The sequence below is a fragment of the Homo sapiens genome, chromosome 6 (assembly GCF_000001405.40).
Source record: "Homo sapiens chromosome 6, GRCh38.p14 Primary Assembly".
NCBI lineage: Eukaryota > Metazoa > Chordata > Mammalia > Primates > Hominidae > Homo > Homo sapiens.
The window spans coordinates 136,704,931-136,732,130 of record NC_000006.12 but is presented as its reverse complement, the minus strand read 5'-3'; the positions used below and the strand labels follow the sequence as shown (position 1 = coordinate 136,732,130).

Genomic DNA, 27,200 nt, shown 5'->3' with positions numbered 1-27,200 from the left:
TTACCTTTAAAGTATCCCTTTTCCCCCATGGTTGACTTTTCTCCTCTGTCATAGAACCCAACCCATCTGTCTCATCTGAAAATACAGAGATCGCCTCCATTAATTAGCACTCCCTTTAAAATCTTTCTCTTTTTTTCTTCTTTCAGCTTGACTTCAAAAATGCGTACAATCTCCACTTGTTCTAATAATGTTCAAGTACACCATTCTAACACTAAAAGCTTTTAGATCTTTCTGTCCCATTAAAGTATTGTCTGATCTCTTGCTTTCCTTACTGATTGTAAAGGTGCCTACCATGGACCTTGGAAAACGTTTATCACCTTTTGTTCTTTGCCAGTCTTTGGAGAATCCTTTGGGCTCATTCCCTCCATTTCCTCATCTTGTATTCAGCACCTTTTGTTCTGTTGTACTTACCTTCGTTATCATGCAGCTTCTTTATAATCCTTGTGGTAAGCTAAAATTTGTCCCTCACCTCCCCTGCCACCCTAATATCTATGTCAGAACTGGAACATGTGCATGGTACCTTATTTGGAAAACGAGTCTTTGCAGATATGATGAAGTGAAGGATCTTGAGATAAGATAATCCTGGATCATCTGGGTGTGTCCTAAATGCCATCACAAGTGTCCTTGTAAAAGAGGCAGAGGGCGATTTGACACCACATGCATACACATCACAAGCCAAGGAGTGCCGAAAACTTAGAATCTTGAAGGGGCAAGGAACTGATTATCTTCTAGAGCACTGCCTACACCTTGATTTTGGACTTCTGGCCTCTAGAACTGTGAAAGAAGACATTTCTGCTGTTTTAAGGCATCAAGCTTGTAATAATTAGTTACAATGGCACAGGAAACTAATGCAATTCTCTTTTAACATTCTGGGCAAAATGATCGGTTAGAAATGAGTTAATTTTCACAAGGCAAACATGCCAGAGTAACCAGCACCTAGATCAAGAAGTAGAACTTTACCAGCACCCCAGAAGACCCCTTCAAGCCCCCTTTAGCCATGGCCCATCCTCTCCAAGGCGTGCGCCATTGTGACTTTTAATATTGCAGAATCACACGGTGCCTAGTCCTTTGTATCTGGATTCCTCCTCCCAAGAATGCATTTGTGAGATTCATCCATGTTGTCACGTGTGGTTGTAGATTTTTCATGCTCATTACTGTATAGTATCCATTGTTTCTACATAGCATGCTTTTTAATTTCTTCTGCTGTTAATGGTTTACAAATAGTATGGCTATGAACATTCATTACATGAGCACATATCTGTGTTTCTATTGGGTATATAATGAGGAGGGGAATTCCTGAGTCCAGGAAGCCTCATTTCTTTCTGTACTCTAAGTTGACAACCTCATCTACATTCACTGTTTCAGTGGTCACCCATTGCTGTGACTCTTTTTTTTTTTTTTTTTTTTTTGAGGCAGAGTTTCACTCTATCTCCCAGGCTGGAGTACAGTGGCGCCATCTTGGCTCACTGCAAGCTCTGCCTCCTGGGTTCACGCCATTCTCCTGCCTCAGCCTCCTGAGTAGCTGGGACTACAGGCATCTGCCACCACGCCTGGCTAATTTTTTTGTGTTTTTAGTGGAGACGGGGTTTTACTGTGTTAGCCAGGATGGTCTCGATCTCCTGACCTCGTGATCTACCCGCCTCTGCCTGCCAGAGTGCTGGGATTACAGGCGTGAGTCACCGTGCCCAGCCTGCTGTTATTCTTAGATCTTTCTGTTTTTTATCTCTCTGCTGAGGTTCAAAAGGACTGCTATCAGTAATATATTCACTCCCACTCCCCAATTTAGTGTGTTCCAATATGAACTCAAGCTCCTATCAAAAAAAAAAAAAGTTTGGCCAGTTGTGGTGGCTCACACCTGTTATCCCAGCACTTGGGAGGCCTAGGCGGGTGGCTCACTTGAGCCCAGGAGTTTGAGACCAGCTTGGTCGACATAGTGAGACCTTGTTTCTACAAAAACAAAAAACAAAAAAAAAAAAACAACCAAACAACAAAAAAACAGGTATGGTGGCGTGTACTTGTGGTCTCAGTTACTCAGGAGGCTGAGGTAGGAGGATTGCTTCAGCCCAGTAGTTGGAGGCTGCAGTGAGCCGTGATTGCATCACTGCACTCCAGCCTGGAAGACAGAGTGAGACCCTGTCTCAGAAAATACCACAAAACCTCCCTTGTGTCCTTTACTATGTTAATGGCAAATCATTATCCTTAATTATGACGTTCAAAGCAGAAACGTCTTTAATTCTTTCTTTGCCTGTAGCCACCAAGTCCCTGAATCCTGTTGAGTTTCCCCACATGTTGTCTGTGTTAGTTGAGGGACACGCTCTCTCGGATGACTCCCACACAATCTCCCAGCCCCCGGTCTGTGTAGTCTATCATCCATCTACAGATTCTAGCTTTATCTTTCCAAAGCGAAGCTTAGATCCTGACATACCTCTTCTCAAACCTCATGGACATGGATGGATCCATCCATTGATTATAGGATCAAGTCAAAATTCTTTATGTTGGCTTTCTATGTTTTCATAAGTTTGCCTTCAATATCATTTCTATGAGAAATTACTCAAAGCTTTATCAGGAGGTGTTGAGTTGTATAATAGCATTGTCTTCGATCACATTTTAATGATACATTGCTCAAAGGGTCTCCTCTGGGCATTTCTTGTCCCGGCTCTATGTGATTACCATTCATGGTGAGTTTACTGTGCCTAGCACACATGTAATCCTTATAGCAGTTTTGTGCAGTAAATACCTAGGTTGTTATTCCCAATTTATAGTTGAAGAAACCACAGCTCAGAGAGTTCGAGGTATTGTCTGACGTCATCCATCCAGAAACACAACTGGGATTCAAACACTGGAAGTCAAAGAACAGCTTGTCTGTTATTTACATGCTCATTACTCTTCTGGAGATGAGAGTGTTTCCTTTCCAGCTCTTCAGCTCTGTAGAGTGCTTTACTGAGGCTGTGTGTCCTCCTGGCATTGAGCTGTGGCTCTAGGTCCTGACCTTCTGGTCTGGTCACCTCCGAAGGATGTGTGCTTTCTCTGCCTTCACATTCTCTAAAGCTGAGCTCTTGCAGCTATTGCCTGGGTAAGGGGTCTTTAGTTATTATAACACCCATCTTAGTTTTGCACCCTCCTCTGTCTCTGTTTCACTCCTCCTTCCTCTCCCTTTTTTTCTGTTCTGTCCCTCCCTCCACACTAGGTTTCTCCCTTTTCCTCTCTTCCCTTTCCTTTTGTAAGTGTAGTGGCTCTCAACTCTTTTTAAGGCCAACCTCTGGAAGTGCAAAATATCCCTCTGATTACCTCCCTACCAGCCCTCACTTAGCAGATTAACAACAACAACAGAAAGCCAGCAAAACACTTGAGTGTAATACAATGTCACCAAATAAGAAAATTAGGGCTGGGTTGGGGAGGTTAGGAATAATTTGCTTTGGCAATATGAGAATGATTTATGTTTGAATCACCATGCATACATTTATTAGAGTTTAGTGATGAGGAAATCATGGACCAGAATATACTGTTGATATATATTTGCATCATTTTACATGGTATAATTAACCAAATAACACACAAGAAATTAAAGGGAGGCTGATGAAGCTAAAAGAGTAGTCATTTATAGTAGGGATTGCCCAACTGTGACCAGTTCAAGACCTTGATGATAGATGATTCTTATGTCCTTCTTGAAAATTTCAACATTCCTAGCTGTATAACAGGACTTTTGCAGTTTCCCGATGTTATCTACTTGCCAAACTTTAGAAAACTGACTTGGAGTCTTTAGGAGACTCTAACAGGACATGACTTTTAGGTCAAATTTCAGAAAATACCAATTAACATCTTCCCTCAACTCTTCTCTTCACAAGCAGCAGCAACTCATGTGAGATATTTAACTAACAGATACCTTATTATGAAGGGAAAATTCAATTTAAAAACCCCACAGACTACCAGCCACTGCCATTCGATGACCAAAATGCAATTAAGCTTAATAGCTTAATGTTATTACCCTAAAAATTTTATTATGCTTTAACAAACCCCTGATAAACCTTGTGTTATCCTCCACTTAACATTAACTCAGTCAGAACAAGGAAACAAATTATACCTTAGGTAAAAATGTAGGAGATTTTTGTGTCTTTGTCTATACTTTTAAATGACTAACTTTCTTAAATTTCTTTTTTTTTTTTTTCTTTGAGGCGGAGTCTCGCTCTGTCGCCCAGGCTGGAGTGCAATGGTGCTATCTCTGCTCACTGCAAGCTGCGCCTCCTGGGTTCACCCCATTCTCCTGCCTCAGCCTCCCGAGTAGCTGGGACTACAGGCACCTGCCACCACGCCCGGCTAATTTTTTTTGTATTTTTAGTAGAGACGGGGTTTCACCGTGTTAGCCAGGATGGTCTCGATCTCCTGACCTTGTGGTCCGCCCGCCTTGGCCTCCCAAAGTGCTGGGATTACAGGTGTGAGCCACTGCGCCTGGCCCTAACTTTCTTAAATTTCTAAATGTGGCAGTTTTACTCACAGTATTATTACAACAACTCAATTAGATAATTATTAAGTGCATTTACTCATGAAATATACAATAAGACTGGTATGATTTGATCCCCAAATCTATTTTCACATCTCACTTGTGTTCTGAACTTGTGAATTTCTGTCTCCTGTAAGTTTAGGAAGTGAGTCAGTGAAGAGTTAAAAGAGCTTGGACTCTAGAGCTGGATTGCTTGGGTTTGAATTCTGGTGGCAACACTTTCTAGCTGATCTTTGGCAGATACATTCTCTGCTTCAGTGTCCTGAAATAATACTACCAATCACAAAGGGGTATTAGGAAGATTGAGTTAATATTTGAAAAGCATATACTGTCTGACACATAGTAAGTACTGAATATATGTTTATAAAATGAAATGGATAAACTGTTCCTCCTATAAATGGGGCTCAGGAATTCTTGAGTATCAAGTGTTTGTTTAATTTATTATAATTACATCTTAATTTGTATTTTTAATATGTCTTAGGATCATTTCACAAGGAAGATAATTTTCACCTGTTTATTTTACTACTTTTGAGAAGGTACCCAGCAGAGTCAGAAAGTAGCCACAGATAATGTTTTCTTTAGTTAGGTAATGAAATATTACTGTTTAAACAGTGCTGTGTTACTGGAAGTCCTAGCGAGTATAACAAGGCAAAAACAAACAAAAAACAAAAGGCATACAAATCGGAAGGGAAAAAACAAAATCCCTTCTAGTTGCAGATTACGTGACTGTCCATGTAAAATAATACATATAAAATAATATATATGAAAAAAGCTTCTAGAAGTTATAACTGAGTTCAGTTAAATTTCAGGATACAAGATCAATCTACAAAAATTATTGTATTTTTATATGCTAGCAATGAGCAATTGTGATTTGAAATTTTTAAAAACAGTACTATCTATAGTAGCACCAAAAAGAGAAAACATTTAGGTATAAATTTAACAAACTATGTGCAGGATCTACATGTTGAAAATTATGAAATACTAATTAAAAAACGACGGCCTAAGTAAGTGGAGAGATATTCCGTATTCTTTTTTTTTTTGAGGCAGAGTCTTGCTCTGTCACCCAGGCTGGAGTGCAGTCATGTGATCTTGGCTCACTGCAGCCTCTGCCTCCAAGGTTCAAGTGATGCTTGTGCCTCAGCCTCCCAAGTAGCTGGGATTATAGGCATGTGCCACCGTACCTGGCTAATTTTTGTATTTTTAGTAGAGACAGGGTTTCACCATGTTGGCCAGGCTGGTCTCAAACTCCTGGCCTCAAGTGAGCCACCTGCTTTGGCCTCCCAAAGTGTTGAGATTACAGGTGAGATATTCTATATTCATGGATTGAAAGACTCAATATTGTTAAGATGTCAGTTCTTTCTAAAGTGATTTTTTAGATGCAACACAATTCCAATCAAAATCCCAGGATTTTTTGGTAGCTATCAATTGATAGATATCAACAGCCAGCTGATTCTCAAATTTACGTAGGAAAGCAAAGAGAACAACTAAAACAGCCAAAACAAATTTGAAAACAGAATAGAGTTGAAAACCAGAATAGAGTTGACCTACCTGATTTTAGTAGCTACCTTAAAGCTGCAGCAGTCCAAACAATTGTTGTGTTGACAAAAGATAAACACATAGATTAATGAAATAAAACAGAGAATCCAGAAGAAAACCCACCAAAGTGTAGCCAGTTAATGTTTGATGAAAATGCAGAGGCAATTCAATGGAGAAAGGACAGTCTTTACAGCAAATATGAATCTTGACCCATGCCTCACACCATATACAAAAATCAACTCTAAATGGTTCATAGACTTAAATTTAACATAAAGCTATAAAACTTCTAGAAGAAACCATAAAAGAAAACTTTTGTGACCTTGGGTTACGCAAAGATTTTTTTCAATACCACACCTGAAGCACAATCCATTAAATAAAAAGTTGATGAACTGGACTTAATTAAATTTAAATTCTCTTGTAAAGACACACTTAAGAGAATGAAAAGACAAGTCATTATCTGACAGTATCTGCAAATTGCATATCTGACAGAGGAACAATATTCAGAAAATATAAAGAACATTCAAACCTCAACAATAAGAAAACAAACTCAACAATAATTTTTAAATGGGCAAAAGCATTGAGTACTTAACCAAATAAGATATACAGATAGCAAATAAGCACATGAAAAGATGCTCAACCTCATTAGTCATTAGGGAAATACAAATTAAAACCATAACGAAGTACCACTACATACCTATTAGACTGGCTTTAGAAGAAAAACGGACAATACCAAGCGCTGACAAAGATGTTGGACAGCTGAGATGCTCCTCATACTTTGCTGGCGGGAATGCAAAATGTTTGAGTCACTTTGGGAGAGCTTGGCATTTTCTTATTAAGGTAAACATACCCTTACCTATGACCCAGTAATCCTACTCCTAGGTCTTTACTCAAGACAAATGAAAGCATGTGTCTATATAAAGACTTGTACATGAATAGCAACTTTATTCAAAATTGCTCAACCTGGAGACAACCTGAATGTCCTCAAACCTGTGAATGGACATCTATGGATGAATCTCACATGCATTTTGCTAAGTCAAAGAAGCCAAACCCAAAAGGCTACATACTGTATGATTCCATTTATATGACATTCTGGGAAAGGTAAAACTTTAGGGACAGTAAATAAATCAGTGGTTGCCAGGGACTGGGATTTGGGGTGTGGGGAAGACTAACCTCAAAAGGGCAGCATGAGGGAGATTTTTGGAGTGAAGGATCTATTTTGTATCATGACTATGGTGGTATGTACGCATTTTTCAAAGCCCATTAGACTGTACATCAGAGACAAAGAGAATGAATTTTGCTCTATGACAATTAAAAAGTAAATTTAGGAAAGAATAGAAATGTCTTAGAACAAGTCACTTATTTGAATTTGAAATAGAAAAAAGCCAACCTTTTTCTGAGTTACCATACTGTATTACTGTATTTTAAAATTATACCAATAAGCACCTTTCAGTGTTCTTTATAGCATCCAGAAATGGATCTGTTCCTGTTTAGATGTTTAGAGGTAATAAATATACCTTACTTTGCTTGCACCATTTATTTTAAATGTCTAGGCTGGGCACAGTGGCTCATGCTTGTTATCCCAGCACTTTGGGAGGCTGAGGTGGGCAGATTACCTGAGGCCAGGAGTTCAAGACCAGCCTGGCCAACATGGCGAAACCCCATCTCTACTAAAAATACAAAAATTAGCTGGATGTGGTGGTGCACCCTGTAATCCCAGCTACTTGGGAGGCTGAGGTAGGAGAAACACTTGAACCCGGGTGGTGGAGGTTGCAGTGAGCTGAGGTTGTGCCCCTGCACTCCAGCCTGGGAGACAGAGTAAGACTCCATCTCAAAAAAAAAAAAAAAAAAGTCAGTTTCTCTCTTAATCCGAAAACTTTCTGCAGTGTTTTTATTTTATTTTAGCATCTAATTCCACATGTCAGTTCTCTGGAAAAATTTATCCCCTCCTTTCATTACTTTAACTTAGCTAGTATTTTTCTTTGCATGTCTCTTATTTTTCATCAGTAAGTGTTTTATTTGGTTTCTTCCAGCCCCACGTTACACAGCTTCTTGATTTTAAAGCAATGTGATTGACTGCTGAGTGGCTGGCACCTGTGGGAGGAGGAAGCTGTGTGGGTGCAGGAGGCAGCTGGGCTGTGTGGGTAGGATGCAATGACTCACTTTTGTCATGTGTTGATTTTTGATGCAGAAATGTTGAGGACCCCAAAAGAAAACTCTTTATTTGTATTAAAGAGCCCTTAAGTCATTTTTAGCCTTGAGGGGGGAAAAAAAACTTCTGAAGCTCCTTTGACCTGTCTTCCCATTTCATAAACTTCTGTGTCTTTTACCTCCATTTCATCTGATTGATTTCTCATTCACCAAAGTTTAATGCTAATTTCATGCTCATTAGACAAGGTGGACTTTGCACCAAACAGCTTCTCAAGCATCTGCAGTATTTTTATGTGCTGCACTTTGGTTTTATATTCCATCACACAGGTCTTGAATGTTGTTCATTTTATATTTTGATAGATTCCTAAATTGTGAAAGTAATCAATGTTCATAATAGAAATCGTGGGAAATATAGAAGATATAAAATAGAAAAATAAAATAATTCATAATCCCTATAACACAGCTATTACCAACAAAAGTTGGTGTACAACTTTTCAGGTATTTTTTATGCACATGGATATATACATGAATGTAAACATCATAATGCACTCATTATAATGTATACATTATATTTTTAATGTATATGCTATACCTGGCAGTATGTATATTATATTTTACTTTTTATTTTTACTTGATATAGTTTGGATTTATCCCCTGTTGCTAAGTCTTATTCTACTTTTTTCTTTTTCTTTGGTTTCATGATATCCCATTATTTGAAATTATTATATACATATATATCATTATTACATATATACACATACACACGTATATAAACATTTTCTTACTGATAGGTATTTAGACATTTTCCATTATTTTATTGTAAAAAAATATTTTTTCAATGGACGGGTAAATCTATTCACATTTATAATAATTTTCTCAGAGTAAATTCCAAGGAATGGAATTATTGGGTCAGAGTGTACATAATTTTTAGGATTTAAGCCTTCTAGAAAGTTTACACTTGGCTGGGGTGTGGTGGCTCATGCCTGTAATCCCAGCACTTTAGGTGGCTGAGGCAGAAGGATTGCTTGAGGTCAGGAGTTTGAGACCAGCCCGTGCAGCATAGTGATACCTGTGTTTACAAAAAATTTTAAAAAATTAGCCAGGCATGGTGACACATGCCTGTAGTCCCAGCTACTCAGGAGGCTGAGGCTGAAGGATCGCTTGAGCCCAGAATTTTGAGGCTGTGCATATATAGTGAGCTATGATTTTGTCACTGCACTCTAGTATGGGCAACAAACTGAGAACTGTCTGCCTTAAAAAAAAAAAAAAAAAAAGGAAAAAAAAAAGAAAAGAAAGTTTACACTTCCCACAGCATAAAAGAGTGTCATTTCTCTGCATTTTCATTGACTCCTTTACTTTGCCCACTTCTTAGGCAAAACAATTGGCATTTTATAGTTGGTTTAATGTGCATTTATTAGAAGCAAGATGGAGAGTAATTTCTCATATATTTATTTACCATTTTAAATTTCCATGAATTTGCTTGTTGATGTCTATAGCATGATTGTCTAATGTAATGTTTTTATCATTGCTGAGTTATTTTAAATTGATCATAAGAGATGATTTATAAAGATATTAACCTTTCATCTCTCACATATTGCATATATTTTTAAGAAATTATCTTCTTTTAAATTTGTTATATATTAACATTTTCATTGTAATTATGAATGGCTTCTGTTTTATATTTCCTAAATGTTTATTGCAATTGCAAAGGAAGCTCTTTGTTTTCATAATAGTTTTGCATCTTGATGCCTTACTAAATTGTATTATTACTTCTAATAGCTATTCAGCTAAGTCTGTTGGGGTATTTGGTTGACATCCACAACATCTGCAAATAGAGATAATTATCTATTTTATTTTCTAGAATTATATCTTCTTACTTTCTAGAAATCTTATTGCAGTGGCTGGGATTTTCAGAAAGCCATTATATAGTAAGTTGTGGGAATAGATGACAGCCTTTATTTCTGATTTTCATGGGAATACCTAGATGCACAAAGTTGGAAGTTGTTATGAAACATATATTCTCTATGTTAAGGAAATGCCCTTATATTTTTAATTTGAAGTTATTATTTTTTAATTTAAAATTTTTATTCTTCTTAGAGCTAGGGGTCTTGCTCTGTTGCCCAGGCTGGCCTCAAACTCCTGGCCTCAGGTGATACTCTCAACTCAGCCTCCTGAGTAGCTGAGATTACAGGTGCGTGCCACTGTGCCCAGCTCAGCAATTATTTTTAATGAGAAATGGATTGAGAATTTTAATTAATGTACTTGGAGCATGTTCGAGATGCTGATGAGTTTTTTCCATTGAGCTATCCTTGCATTCTGCAAATAAATTTTAAACTCACGATCTAGGTCTTATAACACTTGGTACATTTTGTTAGTTTTTCTTTCATATTTTTGTTTATAGCCATAAAGGAGTTTTAGACTAATCTAAATTTCGTTTTTGTGACATTGTCAAATTTTGATATCAAATTTCTACTACCTTGTTACTGGTCATCTTTGAGCCTTGGATGGATTTGCATCTGTGGTTATATTCCCCTTTGTTATATTTTCTATACCTTTTTTCTCTCTTTTGTTCTTGATTATACTTACCAGGGACTTACTAGATATCAGTTATTTAACTCTAAAACCCAGTTCTGGATTAACTAATAAGCTTACCTATTTATTTTTTAAAAATCTCGTTTTATATATGTTACTGCTATTTTTTAATGAATCTGTTTTTTTTTTTTTAATTTCCTTATTTGGAACCTTAGTTAACGTGTTTTAATGTTGAAATTTATGAGAGAGCATTAGCCCCTGCTTCCCACCGTTGCAAATTCTCCTCGGTTTCCAGTAATCACATGATCTCCTTCTTCTTTAAAAAAAATGCAGGTTTGGGCCAGGCATGGTGGCTCACACCTGTAATCCCAGCATTTTGGAAAGCCGAGGCAGGAGGATTATTTGAGGCCGGGAGTTTGAGTTCAACCTGGGAAACATAGGAAGACCCTGTCTCTAAAAAAATTTTTTAATTAGCTGGGCGTGATGCCACATGCCTGTAGTCCCAGTTACTAGGGAGACTGAGGTGGGAGGATCATTTGAGCCTAGGAGTTCAAGGCTGCAGTCAGCCATGATCATGTCACTGTACTCCAGTCTGGGTGACAGAGCAAGACCTTGTCTCTTAAAAACAGAAAAAGGAGGTTTGTTACATTTTATAAAACCACTTCCAGGTAGAGCTGCAAATTCAAAATTCAGTGATAAATGAAGAGAGAAAATCCCTATCGTTTCCTTATTTCCTCTTTTGAATACTAAGATAATTCAAACCAAAATGTGCTGATTGGGCATTATTTGGGTGTCATTCTTTGGGGGACTTTGTTTTCTGTTTGCAGATATTGCGGTGGTGGAGATGAGCGATGCCTTCCGGCAGCCGTCCTTGTTTTACCACCTTGGGGTGAGAGAAAGTTTCAGCATGGCCAACAACATCATCCTCTACTGTGATACTAACTCGGACTCTCTGCAGTCACTGAAGGTACCTCCCTTGTTTACTGAATGTTTCATTTTAACATCAGCATTTCAGGGATACCGGTTTGTCATCCAAACATTTTAAGTAGCTTTTATTTGTGAAAGACTTTTATATGTTTGGTTAGTATGCATCAATTACTTGTCAAATTGGGAGGTTTATCGAGAATTCACTGTAGAAATTTGATGACACGAGTAGGAAAAAAGTTCACACTGAGTTCTGAGTTTCAGTCATGGTTGTAGCGGAGGAGACTGTGTTAATAGGAAGTCATTAGCGCCGACGTGGAGAAGGGAGATTGCATAAGGTATGGTCAAGCCTCCATGCTTTGTCACTTTTGGGAGCTTCATGGTGCCCACCAGTCTCCCAACTAAAAGTACACTTCCTACTTGAAAGTGCTCTGAGAAATTCTGAGTATACCCAAATAGTTGCCTTCCTCTTTCACTAGGGTATGATTTAAACTAAGATGGGAGAAAAGGAGGAGAAACTTACTATGTTTGTCTACAAAATTCAACCTGTCTCGATGTCATTCTCTCCAGTAATAGGAGCTTACTGCTATAAAGGCATTTCCTCCATCCAAAGAAGTTTGCCTAAAATGCTTTTTGCAAGGCCAAGTGATTTTACACTGTGTGATTCTTTGAAAAGCATCCCACAGTTCAGTGAATCGCATGCTGAGCTTGCCATCATCCATTTCCTTTGTGAAACTTCCAGCTAGCTTCATGTGGCTTTTTCTCAGCTCTGTCTTCCAGTTCCCAAATCTGAGCCAACCTTGGGACATTGAGCTCTAGAATCCTTAACCATATTACTAATGACTTAGCAATTGTTATATGAGTATCTCTAACCCATATTTCATGCAAAAAAGTCAGTAGTATTTTGCATTCTGAGTATTTAAAGCATGTGTGGCTTTCTTTGAGAAATCTGCAGAACTTCATTGAGCAAACATACCTACTACATGCCAGGCATTGTGCTGGTGATTGACAGGTATATCCCTTTCCAGAATACTCTGAAACAGTTCTAAGAGATTTGCCCCTACTTGTCCTAAGTCTGTTTTTTTATCCTAGAGCAATCCTTTACCTGGAGCAATCCTTAAGCCCCTCCTTAATTTTCCTCCAGATTTACCCCTTTAATTAGTACATCATAAAATGTTGTAACTCATTTTTAATTAGACATTTTGATTTGCTGCTATTTGCAACCCATATTAGCATTTGATGAAGGAATTATTTTATTTAGCTCTTTTCATTTTTCTTTGGGTTAAGTTTATGTATGTATGTATTTATTTATTTATTTAGACAGGATCTCGCTCTCTCACCCAGGCTGGAATGCAGTGTCGTGATCACAGCTCACTGCAGCCATGACCTCCTGCGTTCAAGTGATCCTCCCTCCTCAGCCTCCTGAGTAGCTGGGACTACAGATGCATGCTACCTCACCCAGCTAATTTTTCTCTTTTTTGTAGAGATGGGGTTTTGCCATGTTGCCCAGGCTGGTCTTGAACTCCTGGGTTCAAGCGATTCTCCCACCTTGGCCTCCCAAAGGGTTGGGATTATAGGTGTGAGCTGCCACACCTAGATCACCTAGATAGATTAAGTTTATTTAAGCAGGCCCTATTATGTTGGAGATTTTTTACTTTCTACATTTTTTTGCTCTTGCTCCTGCTAGTATCTGGTGGTTTAATTTTGTGCCCATTCTTTCCTAGGGAAGTATTTTTAAATGAAGCAAACTTACATTTGAGAGAAAGAGATAAAGCTAATCTTACCACACATATGTCCGGGACAAATAAACTGGCTTATTGTTTTAAGCTAGCCTTTGTCTAGGAGTGTTATTGGCATTTGATTGAAGTAGTTCCTTAAAAAGGCTAATGATGTCTAAACTGTGCTCATTTATCTTGTACATATTATCTGCTTCTTATTGAGTATTCACTATGTGCTAGGTACCAAGTGCTTTATCTGCATACATTTTCAAATTCTTAAAGGAGAGGCTGGGTGTGGTAATCCCAGCACTTTGCGGAGCTGAGGCAGTTGGATCACTTGAGGCCAGGAGTTCAAGACCAGCCTGGCCAACGTGGTGAAACCTTGTCTCTACTAAATACAAAAATTAGCCAGGTGTGGCAGCACATGCCTGTAATCCCAGCTACTTGGGAGGCATGAGAATCTCTTGAACCCAGGAGGCAGAGGTTGCAGTAAGCTGAGATCACACCACTGCACTCCAGCCTGGGCGACACAGCAAGACCCTGTCTCAAAAAAATCACAAAACAAAGAATAATAATAATAATAATTCTTAAAAGAGCTCTGTAAGATGTATTTTCTATTAGCATTTTTTTAGTATCACAAACCGAAGCTCAAAGAAATTCAATCATTTGCCTAAGGTGATATAGCTAGGAAAATTTGGGATTACGACTGCCTGACTCCAAAGCCTGTTGCCCTTGACTGCTAAGCATTATTGTTAGTTACTTCTAGTTAAAATTATATCATATATTCCTGCTGAGTGTGTTCATTTAGAAAAGCCTATCAGCTATGCCTCCTGAGTTTTCCTAGGTAACATCCTTCTTTTTTTCTTTTCCCTTCTCCTTTCTATTAACTTAAACTTTTGCTGTTTTCTTATTTAGACTATTCCTAGCCTGGTAGGTCATGTGTCTGGTTGCAGAGGACAGAAATATCTGGGATAGGAAGCATATTTGGCAGTCTAGCAATTTCCTCTGAGTCCTGAAAGTTCCTCAGGTCCTATGCTACCGAAAAGAGTTGGTGTGTGTGTGTATTTTTAGTTTTATTCATTTCTGGTCAATTAGTTAAAGATGTAACCCTTATTCCTGCCATTGACCAACAGATAGGAAAACTGCCATGAAAGAAGCAGAACAAGAGATATTTAAAATAATATATCATGTAAGGATTAGCCAAGTGAAATAAAAACAAAGCATTTCTCTGTTTTCACAGGGCAAAGACAGTTTTAGAATGCTATTCTTGTCATATGTTTAGTTTCACTTAGGTTGATTCTTTGGCCATCTAGAAAGTACAGCTGCACAAGTTTTATTTTAATCTGCTGCTCTTTGTTGAAGACTGCAGTTTCTCTTTGGTGGCAAATTCTCAGGAAGAAATCGTAGAAAAAAATTTTTTTTTGTTTTAATTTAAGCTCCTGGAAAAGTAATGGGAGCTATGAAAGTACTTTAAAAATCTATGTCTGAAGTATCATTTGAAAGGATATTTAGAATCTAGTCATAGCATTTAATTGTAATAAGATTTATATCCATTGTTTTAAATCACAAGTACTATTTTGTTGTACTAAGAATGAAAAATTTTAGTATTTTTTTCAAGAGAAGATGATCATTACACTTTGAGAGAAGGAAGTTGATTTTTTCTTTTTTTTTTTGCTTTTTTAGTGCAATGGAGCAATCTCAGCTCACTGCAACCTCCGCCTCCAGAGTAGCTGGGATTATAGGCACGTGCCACCATGCCTGGCTAATTTTTATATTTTTAGTAGAGATGGGGTTTCACCATGTTGGCCAGGCTGGTCTTGAACTCCTGACCTCAAGTAATCTGCCCACCTCGGCCCCCCAAAGTGCTGGGATCACAGGCGTGAGCCACTGTGCCTGGCCAATTCTTTTTATTTTCTTTAGCATTGTAACAACACTTTTATTTTTTACAATTTTCTTTAAGTCTCATGAGAATTTCTCTCGTGCCTACTAATGTTTATTGAGAGAATATCTGTGCCAATATTTACATTGGTTTAAAATAAGAAATGCTAGTAACAATTATTTTCTGATTTATTTCATGCATTATGAAATGATCATACTTCCACTTGGGGTCTCTCAGTAAGTGGTGAGTAAGTCTGGACACTCCTGGTCAATGAGCTGTGGTGCAGATGCATTAAACACCTCTGATGACTTAGGAGAAATGAACCTGTTTTGTGTAGAGTGAGGAAGTTGTTTTAATGAACCATCTCTTATCACTAGAAATTCCTTTATAACACCAGCTCTCAGCTTATCTTCTTGTGATCCTTTCCTCCACTCCCTTCCTCAGCTCCTCTATGTTCTGGGCCACTCCCCACTCACTTTAAACAATGCTACTTTTAAAGGAAGCAAAACAACAGGATGAAACATGACTGCACGTGCCAGATAGTTGAGAATTAAAAGCTCTTATACTACAGATGGCCAGATTGTGGAGAGTGGGAAACCTACACACTGCTGGTGGGAGAGATACTACCTTCTGAAGCGCAATTTGGGAATATTTAATAATATCAAATGAGCATATCACCAAGACTTAGTCATTCCAACCCTAAATGTATACTGTAAAAAAAGTCTCTTGCATGCATAAGGAGATATAATCAAGAATGTTTATGTTAACATGTTTATAATAGCTCCTCCTCCCAAGGAAATGGAGAATTAATAGATACCTTCAGCTGTAATTTTTTTTTTTTTTTTTTTTTTTTTTTTTTTTTTTTTTTGAGACGATCTTGCTTTGTCACCCGGGCTGGAGTGCAGTGGTGCTATCCCGGCTCACTGCAACCTCCACCTCCTGGGTTCAAGCAATTCTCCTGTCTCAGCCTCCCTAGTAGCTGGGATTACAGGCTCCCGCCACCACGCCCAGCTGATTTTTGTATTTTAGTAGAGACGGGGTTTCGCCATGTTGGCCAGGCTGATATCAAACTCCTGATCTCAAGCAATCCGCCCCCGTTGGCCTCCCAAAGTGCTGGGATTACAGGTGTGAACCACCATGCCCAGCCAGCTATAATCATTTAATGGAATATTATAGAGCACTTAAAACAAATCAGTTAGTGCTTCAGACGTCAATATCAATATATCTCAAAACAACAGTGTTGGGGTAAAAAAATTACTTGTGTACAGTATCATACCATCTATATAAAATATTGTCAGTGCAAGAGGATGCTTTTATACACACTTGTGTTATAAAAGGATAGACATGTGCATGGAATTATAAACAACATTCAGAATAGTTACCTCTTAGGGGATAGGAATGGAATAAAATTGGGAAGGGAAGATGAGAGTCTTCAACTGTATCTGTAATGTTATAGTTCTAAATCTAGGTGGTAGATTATGAGTGCTAATTTTTGTACTTTTTATATACTTGAAATATTTAATAATTAACCTTTTTTAAAAAAGGAAAAGGTTGCTATATTCTTTTATTTTTTGTATCCACCAGGATAACGTATATGCATTTTGGACACTGGAATCCCAAAATATTTTTAGTGTCTTTTTTCTATGTTCTGGCTGTGGTTAGAAAGCTTCAGATATTTGGATATTTCCCTTTCTGCACTCAAACAGACTTTGTTCTCATTTTATCCATTATAGAAGTAATGTTTCTTGATAGGTTGGTAGGCACATCAGTTAGTGGTGATGCAGTTTGTGTTGAAACGTAATGATTATGTTAGATTATTTCTTGTTCAAAAAATTTAGTTGTATTTTTATCTTTAACCATTGGCTGAAAAGTTACTTTATGGATGGGATTTTCATTAATAGACTATTCTCTGTGGCAACCTGTCTACACGCTTACTCCTTCACTATCTCACTGTATACAGAACACACATATGTGATGCTTGAAACCCTTACTCTGCCTCAGTGCATCTATTATTTTCTAGATTGGGATCTGGCTAGCATGAAATCTTAGGTGCACAAACCAAAATTTGTAACATTTCACTAAATTAGCCCTTAAAAATCAGCAAATTTTAATAATACGGCAGCTCCCCAAAACATTAAAAATAAAATTACCACATGATCCAGCAATTCCACTTCTGGATATATACCCAAAAGAACTGAAAGCGGGATCTTGAAGAGGTGTTTATATACCCATGTTCATGGTAGCATTATTCTTAGTAGCCAAAAGGTGGAAGCAACCCACATATTTATCAACAGATCATTGGCTGAACAACATGTGGTATATACATATAATGGAATATTATTCAATCTTAAAAAGGAAGGAAATTTTGACATATGGTACAACATAAATGAACGTTGAAAACTACTGCTCATTTGAGCAGTTCTGTGATACCTAGACCCATGATCTTTTATCTGCAGGCACTGAGGGACTCAATCTCCTTTAGAACTTAAACACGGAGTCTTGTCTTTCTGGCACTCATTCATATCCATTTGAAGCAAATGGTTATAGTTTTGAAAATAGCAGTGATGTCCATGTGTAAATTTTGATGATTATACCAGTTTGTAAATTGGTGAGGACACCTGGTAATTTGTTACAAATACCTCACACTTAAATTGAATTCTTACCTGTATTTGGAGAATCTACTCGGATTCCAGAGTGTTCTTAAACCCATAAAAACATTTTATCTTTTTGTTTTTACAAACAAAAAACAGTACTTCCTTTTGTTAAAGTTTTGCCTCCCTTATCAAAGTAAATAAGATGAATTTGGTTTTAGCTTGAGTTGTGCATGGAATTAAAATTTTTATTTTTCAAAGGTTTAGGATTCTTTTAGTTTAACAAAGAATTTTTGCTGGATTCTTTTCAGCATTTTAAAAATCATCAACTTGTTAGTGGTACAAAGTACACACTCAGTAAATGTTTTTTAAAAACATCCTTGGAAAATATGATCCTATAAAGTGGTCTCACAATTTGTGAACTGGAAACATTGGCCCTACCCCTTTTTAATAGTGCTGCCTCTGGACATCTCTGAAAGTCTCTAGCTTACTTTATAACCAGCTGTTGATTTAAAAACCCTGGGACTCTACTCTTCCTGGTTCAACGTTGCTATCCCTTACACTTCTTTTCATTTGGTAGAGACAATCTTGTTCCTTTATTTTATTTATTCAGAAATGATCTAACTTTCATCTAAGCTATAATCATTCCATCTCAAATTGGGGAAGGAAAGAGGTAATTTGTGGGGAGGAGCAAATAAGCAATTCATGTAACACTGCTTTATGAAGGTTTTCTCTGAAGATCTTGAATTGACAAGCTAGATGAATGATTTATTTAGCAGGAGTTGACTTCCCAATTGTAGAATCCCTGAGGTTATTAAAGGGACTCAAGACTGGAGAATTCAGCTTTCTTGGATGTCAATTAGCAATAGTATACCTTCTAAGGAATTATGTATAGACTGGGTAAAATATGCCCTTGCTTTCTCCTTCCTGATACCTCTTTAACCACCCTCACTCCTTGCCCACTGTTTTGAATCTCTTGTTACCATTTTGTCTAAGAGGCGATGCACAATGCCATTATATGACTGTGGGCACCAGCTATTTTTCTCATTTGTAGTGACTCTGGTCGTAGGCCTATGATTTTGAATACCCTTAAAGAGTAAGAAGGACTACTTCTGCACACAGAGGAAGGAGTGGGGCAAGCCTTGCTGAATTATCTTTATTTTCACTTATGCTATATAAATGACTCTTTCTGTGGAAGTTGATCTTTTTGGCATTGTAACCCATCACCCTCTTTGGGCCTTTTTAGAATATATCTTTGAAACTATTACTGAAATATGTGTGTGTATTAGTTCATTTTCATGCTGCTGATAAAGACATACCTGAGACTGGGTAATTTATAAAGAAAAAGAGGTTTAATGGACTCACAGTTCTATGTGGCTGGGGAGGCCTCACAATCATGGCAGAAGGTGAAAGGCACATCTTACATGGCAGCAGACAAGATAGAATGAGCCAGGTGGAAGGGGAAACCCCTTATAAAATCATCAGACCTCGTGAGACTTATTCACTACCACGAGAACAGTATGGGGGAAACCACCCCCGTAATTCAGTTATCTCCCACCAGGTCCCTCCCACAACATGTGGGAATCATGGGAGCTACAATTCGAGTTGAGATTTGGGTGGGGACACAGCCAAACCATATCAATGTGTAAAGTATGATTTACTGTAGAAAAATTCACTATACCTCCAACTTTAACAATACAGTTTAAGAAAAGTAATACATGCACTTGAATAATGTGACCCAATTAGGTGTTGCTGAAAGAAACAACTGGTTAAAAAGAAGAAGAAGTTAATTATAATAGCAACACAGTATAAAGTGAAGTTTGTGTTAAGAAGCTCTGTTAGGCCGGGCACAGCTGTAATCCCAGCACTTTGGGAGGCTGAGGCAGGTGGATCACCTAAGCCCAGGAGTTCAAGACCAGCCTGGTCAGCATAGTGAGACCCAGTTTCTACAAAAATTAGCTGGTCATGGTGGTACGTGCCTGTAGTCCCAGCTACTTAGGAGGCTGAGGTAGGAGAATTGCCTGAGCCTGGGGAGGTTGAGGTTGCAGTGAGCTGAGATCATGTCACTGCACTCCAGCCTGGGTGATAGAGTGACAGAGTGAGACCCTGTCTCAAAAAAAAAAAAAAAAGCTCTATTAAATGCTTTATGTATAAAATGTCATTCATCAGCATTCCAGCCAGTTTAGAGACAGATACCTACTTACGGCAGAGTTCTTCCACCAAGATATACTTATTTAAATATGAAAAGAAATTAATAGGGAAAAGAGAGGCTAGAATTCCTTTTAGGATTACTTTCCAGCTTTGATATAATTTAACCTGATTTTTGGTACAGGTTGTTTTAATTGATAGGTGTTCATATGCAAGAGAAGGATGTGTTCTTAGCCCCCGTCATGAATAACAGAGGTGTAAAAGGTCTCTAGACCTGGCAGTGCAGGAATTGAGTTGGAGTTGTTTGCTTTGGTTTATTAATACCTCCTCCTATAAATAGCTTTAAAGTACTGCAAGTAATTTCATTAACTTACTCCATTTGGCCTTTACATAGAACCCAACGAGACAGACAAGTTAGATATTATTTGGATTGGAGAGATAGAAGGTATTTTCTTTTTCTTTTTTCTTTCTTTCTTTCTTTCTTTTTTTTTTTGAGAGGTCTGACTTTGTCCACCCAGCCTGGGGTGCAGTAGTGCCATTTTGGCTCAGTGCAACCTCCACCTCCCAGGTTCAAGCAATCCTCCCATCTCGACCTCCTGAGTAGCTGGGTGTATAGGCACATGCTGCTACACCTGGCTAATTTTTGTATTTTTTTGTAGAGATGGGGTTTTGCCGTGTTTCCCAGGCTGGTCTCAAACTCCTGGGCTCCAGTGATCTGCCTGCCTCTGCCTCCCAAAGTGCTGTGATTACAGGCATGAGCCAACGCTCCTGGCCAGAAGATATTTTCTTTACAGAAGAGAAATGAGACGCGTGATGACTTGTTTGGGGAACACACACAGCTAGTGTCGGGGCAAGGATAAGCCCTATATTCTTTGACTTGTCATCTGGTACTTTCCTCTCTCAGTCTATCCACAGATTTCATATGTTCTGCAAAAGGATGATTTTCTAGGTTTTTTTTTTAAGATTATTGAGATTTTTTTCTTTTAAAGCTTGAGCTTTTATGTAGGCATAACATGTAAACACAAAAGTACTTTGTTTCCTATCTATCTTTAAAGACTCTGTGTCACGGCTCTATGACACTTTTGTTGGATTACTCTCCCTGAGTCTGCTCAGCTTGTTTTAGCAGTGTGCAGAAAGGGTACGGGGGTGTTTCTCCTTCTCAGCAAGGCCTAGGAGGCCCAGACAGCCCATCTGATAGTTTCTTGTTTTGCTTTTTTGACACATTGAAATGAGTTAAGAAGATGGAGCTGAGGAGTATAGGGATTATTCTTCTTTTCCCCAACTTTAATGGAAAACTTGCCAAGTTCCACTAGGACAGAAAGATGGATCAGAACGGAAGACCCAGAAAGTCACCAGCCAGGGAGAGGTTCTTTCCCTGGGCAAGAACTCCAAGCCTGCTCCTTTCTCTTCTTTCAGGAAGGTGAAATCCTGGTTCCTATTCCTGCTTCTCCCACCCCAAGTTTGATTTGACTTGGCCACCCCATGCCTGCTATTCCCACTTCTTTCGCTGGCTGCAGTTACCTAAATTTTAGGCACAAAAACTTTCTAGTGGTGGAAATACTCCATTTAGTTATCCCTGAGGTGACCTTTTCAAACACTGTCCCAGAGAGCTATCAAAAGTTAGTCTTTGCCTTCAAATGAGCCTTGGACTAGATTTTTTTTTTTAGTCTTGCTCCCCTTAATTGGTTATCAACCAATACCAGAAAATCAGGAAAAGAATTTTTTTGAATGTTTCTGGTATAGCCGGGGCTACACTGACCAAAAGCCCCCTAAATACCTCAGACAAGTATGGAGTTGTAGTGGGGTAATGCATCTTCAGAAATGTGCCCCTGGCAAGGAACTGGAGTTTATATTGATTTTATCTTCTTATTCATAGGTACTTGAGAGGAAAATTTCCATGAGCTGATGTGAAATAGAGCAGTTATGTCTTAAATTTATTCCCTTTCCTTCCCACCCCTCTTTAGTGGATTTAATACAAATTAAGCATTCTCTGCTCTAGATACCTTTCAAGGTCTTATTTGTTATTTATTTGGATTGAGTTAAATGAACAAACAGTACCTTTGCTCCATTAAAGTTGATGCCTCCTTTAAGGTTACATGATAAACTGTGAATAAACTCTGTCTCCTTCAGGAGAACAGGATTTGTAGCCCTTTAGCATCTACAAAGCATAAACAATAGCTAACAAGAATTCAGATGTTACACGAATGATTTTTCTTTCTCTTTTTAAGAGATGGGACTCTCTTGTCACCCAGGCTGGAGTGCAGTGGTGCGATCATAGCTCACTGTGGCCTCGAACTCCTGGCCTCAAGCAACCCTCCTGCCTCTGCCTCTTGAGTAGCTGGGATTACAGGTGCACACCATCATCTGGCTCAGGAATGATTTTTATAGTTTGCAGGCACAATCTGCAAGCATAATCTAAAATGCATGCATTATAAGGTATGCATAATCTGAAATGAAGATGGAGGAGACATGTAAGAGGGTTATTATTCCAATGAGCAATTCATAAGGAAGATATAGCATATTGGCACTAAGCCAGTAGTGGCCATTTGCTTTTCTATAGAGCCTTCTGCTCACTCAGTACTCACCACTGCTCCCTTCCCTGCCACTTCCATTTCTGTGCCTGGTGCATCAAAAACAGAGTCAAGGGTAGAATATCTTGTATGCTGGGGGAGCATGAGGGCATCTCTCCTTCTAGCAGCACAAGGACAAGACTGACTATGAGAGCCCTTTAGGCAAAAGCAATTGATGAACACAGCATTAGAAGAGACTAGCAATCACTTAGTCAAACTCTCTTAGTGTCACATTAGAGAGAAGTGAAATGGCTAGCTGGGAGCAGAGCCATATCTTACATATATCTACCCCTAATTCATAGTCCAATATTTTATACATTCATTAATTTATTCATTTATTCATGCTTTTGTAGTACCCGCTGTATGTCATGACATTTGCTAGACAGTCAGTCAGGATACAAATATGAATAAAATACATGGTCTTTGCACGCGAGGAAGTCATGATGTAGGGTGAGAGAATCATAGGAACAAAAATGTGCAATGTAGAAAATGAAGTGCTTTCGAGGAGATGTGTGTGAGGATTAATGACAACACAGATAAAGACATAATCTACTTCTGTTGGGGGTGTCACAGAACACAGTGAAGGCCAGCTTCACAGAAGACAGGTTTCTTATACATTGCACAGAGGATGCTGCACAGAGAGGACGGAGAGGGCATTTCCTCGTTACTCAGAGGGGAAGAGAGAAGGATATTCTATCAAGTGAGAGCCATATTTGCAAGCGTATGGTTTGCTACTCTGGAGAGATGCTCCATAGATCAAGTTTGAAAAATTCTGCATACTGTGTTCCTGGCTTTGTGATTATCCAACATTTTTCAGCTTCCTTGTTCGTGAGCCATTTCTGTGTGTGCGCAATATTAACTATTTGAAACACCTGCAGGAAAAGCCACTTTCAACCTTCCTCTACAATGCCACTCATCTGTCCCTTGATTTCCATTCCTGGAGCACCCCCATTGACTAAGCACTTACTATGATGTCTCTGGACTTTTTCAGTAGCCACCTAAATGCTTTTCCCCATCAAATACTAAGTAATGGCCAGGCACGGTGGCTCACACCTGTAATCCTAGCGCTTTGGGAGGCTGAAGCAGGCGGATTGCTTGAGCCCAGGAGTTAGAAACCAGCCTGGGAAACATGGTGAAACCCCATCTCTACTAAAAATACAAAAATTAGCCAGGCATGGTGGCAGGCACCTGTGGTCCCAGCTACTTGGGAGGCTGAGGTGGGAGGATTTCTGGAGCCTGGGAAGTTGAGGCTGCAGTGAGCCATGATCATGCCACTGCACTCCAGCCTGGGTAACATAGCGAGATCCTGTCTCAAAAAATTAAAAAAAAATAATTAATACTAAGTAACATCATCAAATTAGTCTGTGTAAAACTTTAACAAGGTTTACCTTTTATTTATTTGTCCTAAGGTAATACATTCACTTGCTACAAACATTTAAAAGTACAAAATGATATACAGTGAAAATTTATTATTTTACCTTTATCCTCTAGTCAGCCAACCGACTCCATTGGCAACCACTGTTTTTAGTTTCTTATACATCCTTCCAGAGAGATTTTATGAATTTACAAATTAGAATTTCATTTTTCTCTCTTTTATACATAAATAGCAGCATAGGATAAAAAACTGTTCTCTATTTTGCTTTTTTTACTTAGCAGATCTGGGAGATCCTTCTCTATCACTTCATTGTTTGTTTGGTTCTTCATTGTTTGTTTGGGTGTAATGTATTCCAGTGTATGGAGGTACTAGTGTTTATTCAACTAGTTTTTAGATTATGGCCATTTATGTTGTTCTCAGCCTTTACTAGTACAAATGGTGCCCCAATACGTGCTGATACTTCTTTGAACATATCACTCACCTTAAAAAACACGTTGACTGCCAGGTGCTCACAGAGCAGAGTACTTGATTGTAGCATTCAAAGCCTTCTTCAGTAAGGCTCCAAATAGCTTTCTAATCTTACTTTTTGTATGTGTCAAAATGAACTTTCTGCTTTAGCCAAATGACTACGTTCAAGGGGTTCCCCCCCCCCCCAAGTACCTCTTTAATTCACTCTTCCATAGGTCCCCAACTGAACTGTCTTCTTTAGCTCCCTGTGATAACGTTTATTGTTCCTCAGATGGGCCTTTGCTTTACCTAGCTCTCCGGCCTGGATCCTCACCTTCGGGCTTTGCCTTTGGAGGTCGTGTCTGTCCTTCACAGCTCAGCTTGAGTTCCACCTTCTCTGCTGAGCTTCCCAGGCTTTCTCAATCTTCAGGAACATCTTTCTCTGATAAAGCATAGCCCTTGCTGTCTCTGTCATTCTTTTTACTTTTAGCAATTGTGCGTATACACACATTTCCATCCAGACTTACATAAATATTAAATGTGTACATGTCCCTTTTCTATCAGCAAGATTGTCAGGTATTGAAGAATATCTTTTAGTCATTTTTTTTTTGAGTCAGGATCTTGCTCTGTTGCCCAAGCTGGAGTGCAGTGGCACAGTCATAGCTGACTGCAGCCTCGATCTTCAAGGCTCAAGTGATCCTCCTGCCCCAGCCTTCCAAGTAGCTTGGTCTATAGATGTGAGGTGTGTGCCACGACACCCAGCTAATTTTTAAATGTTTTCTAGAGGCAGAGTCTCATCATGTTGCCTAGGCTGGCCTCAAACTCCTAGTCTCAAGTGATCTTCCGGCCTTAGCCTCCCAAAGCGCTGAGATTTACAGGCGTCAGCCACGGCACCAGGCATTTTTAGTGTTTTGTGTACATCTTCATGGCCCTCAGAACTACCCAGTGCAATTCTTTCCTCTGTCAGTTTTTGTTTTCTCATCTGCTATCCTTAAACATTCAAAAATCTTACATGCTCCTTTGCATGAAAGTCCTTGTTGGTTCTTCTTTGCCCCATGTGGATTCAGCATCCTGGTCCTGGGCTGAAGATGATGGCCACTCAGCCGGGCCTCGCCTGGCCACACTCTTCCCTCCCAGATCTGGCTCCTTGCCTCAGCCAGATGGACTCGCCCTTGAGGCTCCACAAATGCCTTACTATTTCTGTTTCCATGGCAACATTCATGCCATCCTTTCCAATATGCTGTTCCCTTTTCCCTTTTCTAAATGATGATTCCCCAACCTCAGTGAAGCCTTGATACAACAGGCTTTTCTAGATCGTCTCTCCGGTGTCTGTAGTCATGGTGAGGTATAGGAATAACAATACTGATAGTTAGCTTATATTGAGAGCTTTTATGTGTCAGGCACTGTATAGCTATATTATTTGTATGATCTCACTCAATCTTCACAACCTAGAAGATGGGCACACTGCCCACACTGTGTACTTATCCCATTCTTTTTTTTTTGAGGAGTCTCACTCTGTCACCCAGGTTAGAGTGCAGTGGTGCGATCTCAGCTCGCCGCAGCCTCCGCCTCTTGGATTCAAGTGATTCTCCTGCCTCAGCCTCCTGAGTAGCTGGGATTACAGTCATGCAGTCATGTGCCACCATGCCTAGCTAATTTTTGTATTGTTAGTAGAGATGGAGTTTCACCATGTTGGCCAGGCTGGTCTCGAGCTCATGACCTCAGGTGATCCACCTGCCTCCACCTCCCAAAGTGCTGGGATTACAGGCATGAGCCACTGCACCCGGCCATTTATCCCATTATATTTCTCAATGAAAAACACACAAATTATGACTATTTTTTGTCAGATGTCTTGATTATCTGTGTGTGGATTTGCCGGTGGCCAATACCCTTTATTTCTAGCTGCTCAGGATGTAACACACTGTTTTTTCCCCTCCCAGAGTGTGAGAGACATTGTGCTTAGGGAAAGCAAACTCGTTTTAACCTCCTCCCAAGGAGATGGTGGCTGATCAGGTAATCTGCAGAAATTATTTTTAGGTTATTCAGTTTGGGGATTTTACATATTAGTGCTGGTTTTTTGTTTTGCTTTGTTTTGTTTTTTAAACTGCAGACAATACTTTCGTATTCTCCTGTCTCCTCCGCAGATTGTAAACTTTTTAGGCCGGGCATCGTGGCTCGCACCTGTAATCCCAGCATTTTGGGAGGCCAGAGTGGGAGAATTGCTTGAGGCCAGGAGTTGGAGACCAACCTGAGCAACATAGTGAGATCTTGTCTCTACAAAAACAATTACTAAAATTAGCTGGTTGTGGTGGCATGTACCTGTAGGCCTGTAGTCCTAGCTACTTGGGAGGCTGAGGTGGGAGGATCACTTGAGCCCAGGAGCTTGTGGCTGTAGTGAGTTATGATTGTGCCATTGTACTCCAGCCTGGGCAACAGAGGCAACCTTTTCTCTAAAATAAGTAGGTAGATAGATAGAAAACTTTTCAGATGCAGGAACTGAATCTACAGTTCCTAAAATTTCTAATTGCTAATATCATTGTTAATACAAATTTTCCCACATAGTTCAATAAATGTTGTTGAATTATTCAGTTTTGTATTAACTTGTGGTATATTTTTTTTCTTGTTTTTCAGGAAATAATTTGCCAGAAGAATACTGTGAGTACTTTATTTAACCTTCCAGAGTTTTAAAAATATTTTCTTTTCCATTAACTAATCTTTGGTATTTTTAAAATCTCCACAAATTATTAATTTATATCTCTATTTTTCCTCTTTAGATTTTCTGATGTATCAATATAAATATGGTTATCTAAGTACTTCATTGTAGTGAAACTTTA

General features: G+C 38.9%; 1 protein-coding gene across 10 annotated transcripts in view, besides 1 other annotated feature; it reads left to right on the top strand.

The window, feature by feature from the left end:
* MAP3K5 (mitogen-activated protein kinase kinase kinase 5) overlaps nucleotides 1–27,200 on the top strand; it is a 236,046-nt gene that overhangs the window by 60,961 nt on the left and 147,885 nt on the right. For 8 of the 10 annotated variants that reach the window (XM_017010875.2, XM_047418784.1, NM_001438058.1 and 5 more), the window contains 2 exons: nucleotides 11,542–11,681; nucleotides 26,998–27,021. In XM_017010875.2, the coding sequence (XP_016866364.1) occupies nucleotides 11,542–11,681; nucleotides 26,998–27,021 (164 nt within the window). The remainder of the gene's footprint in view (nucleotides 1–11,541; nucleotides 11,682–26,997; nucleotides 27,022–27,200) is intronic. The other 2 variants (NM_001438579.1, XM_017010877.2) reach the window with 1 other exon arrangement.
* Nucleotides 8,171–8,220: an enhancer, noted in NCBI's record as "active region_25116". NCBI's record gives its function as "activates an Ori minimal core promoter by ATAC-STARR-seq in GM12878 lymphoblastoid cells {active_cell/tissue: GM12878}" and the evidence as "EXISTENCE:reporter gene assay evidence [ECO:0000049][PMID:35858748]".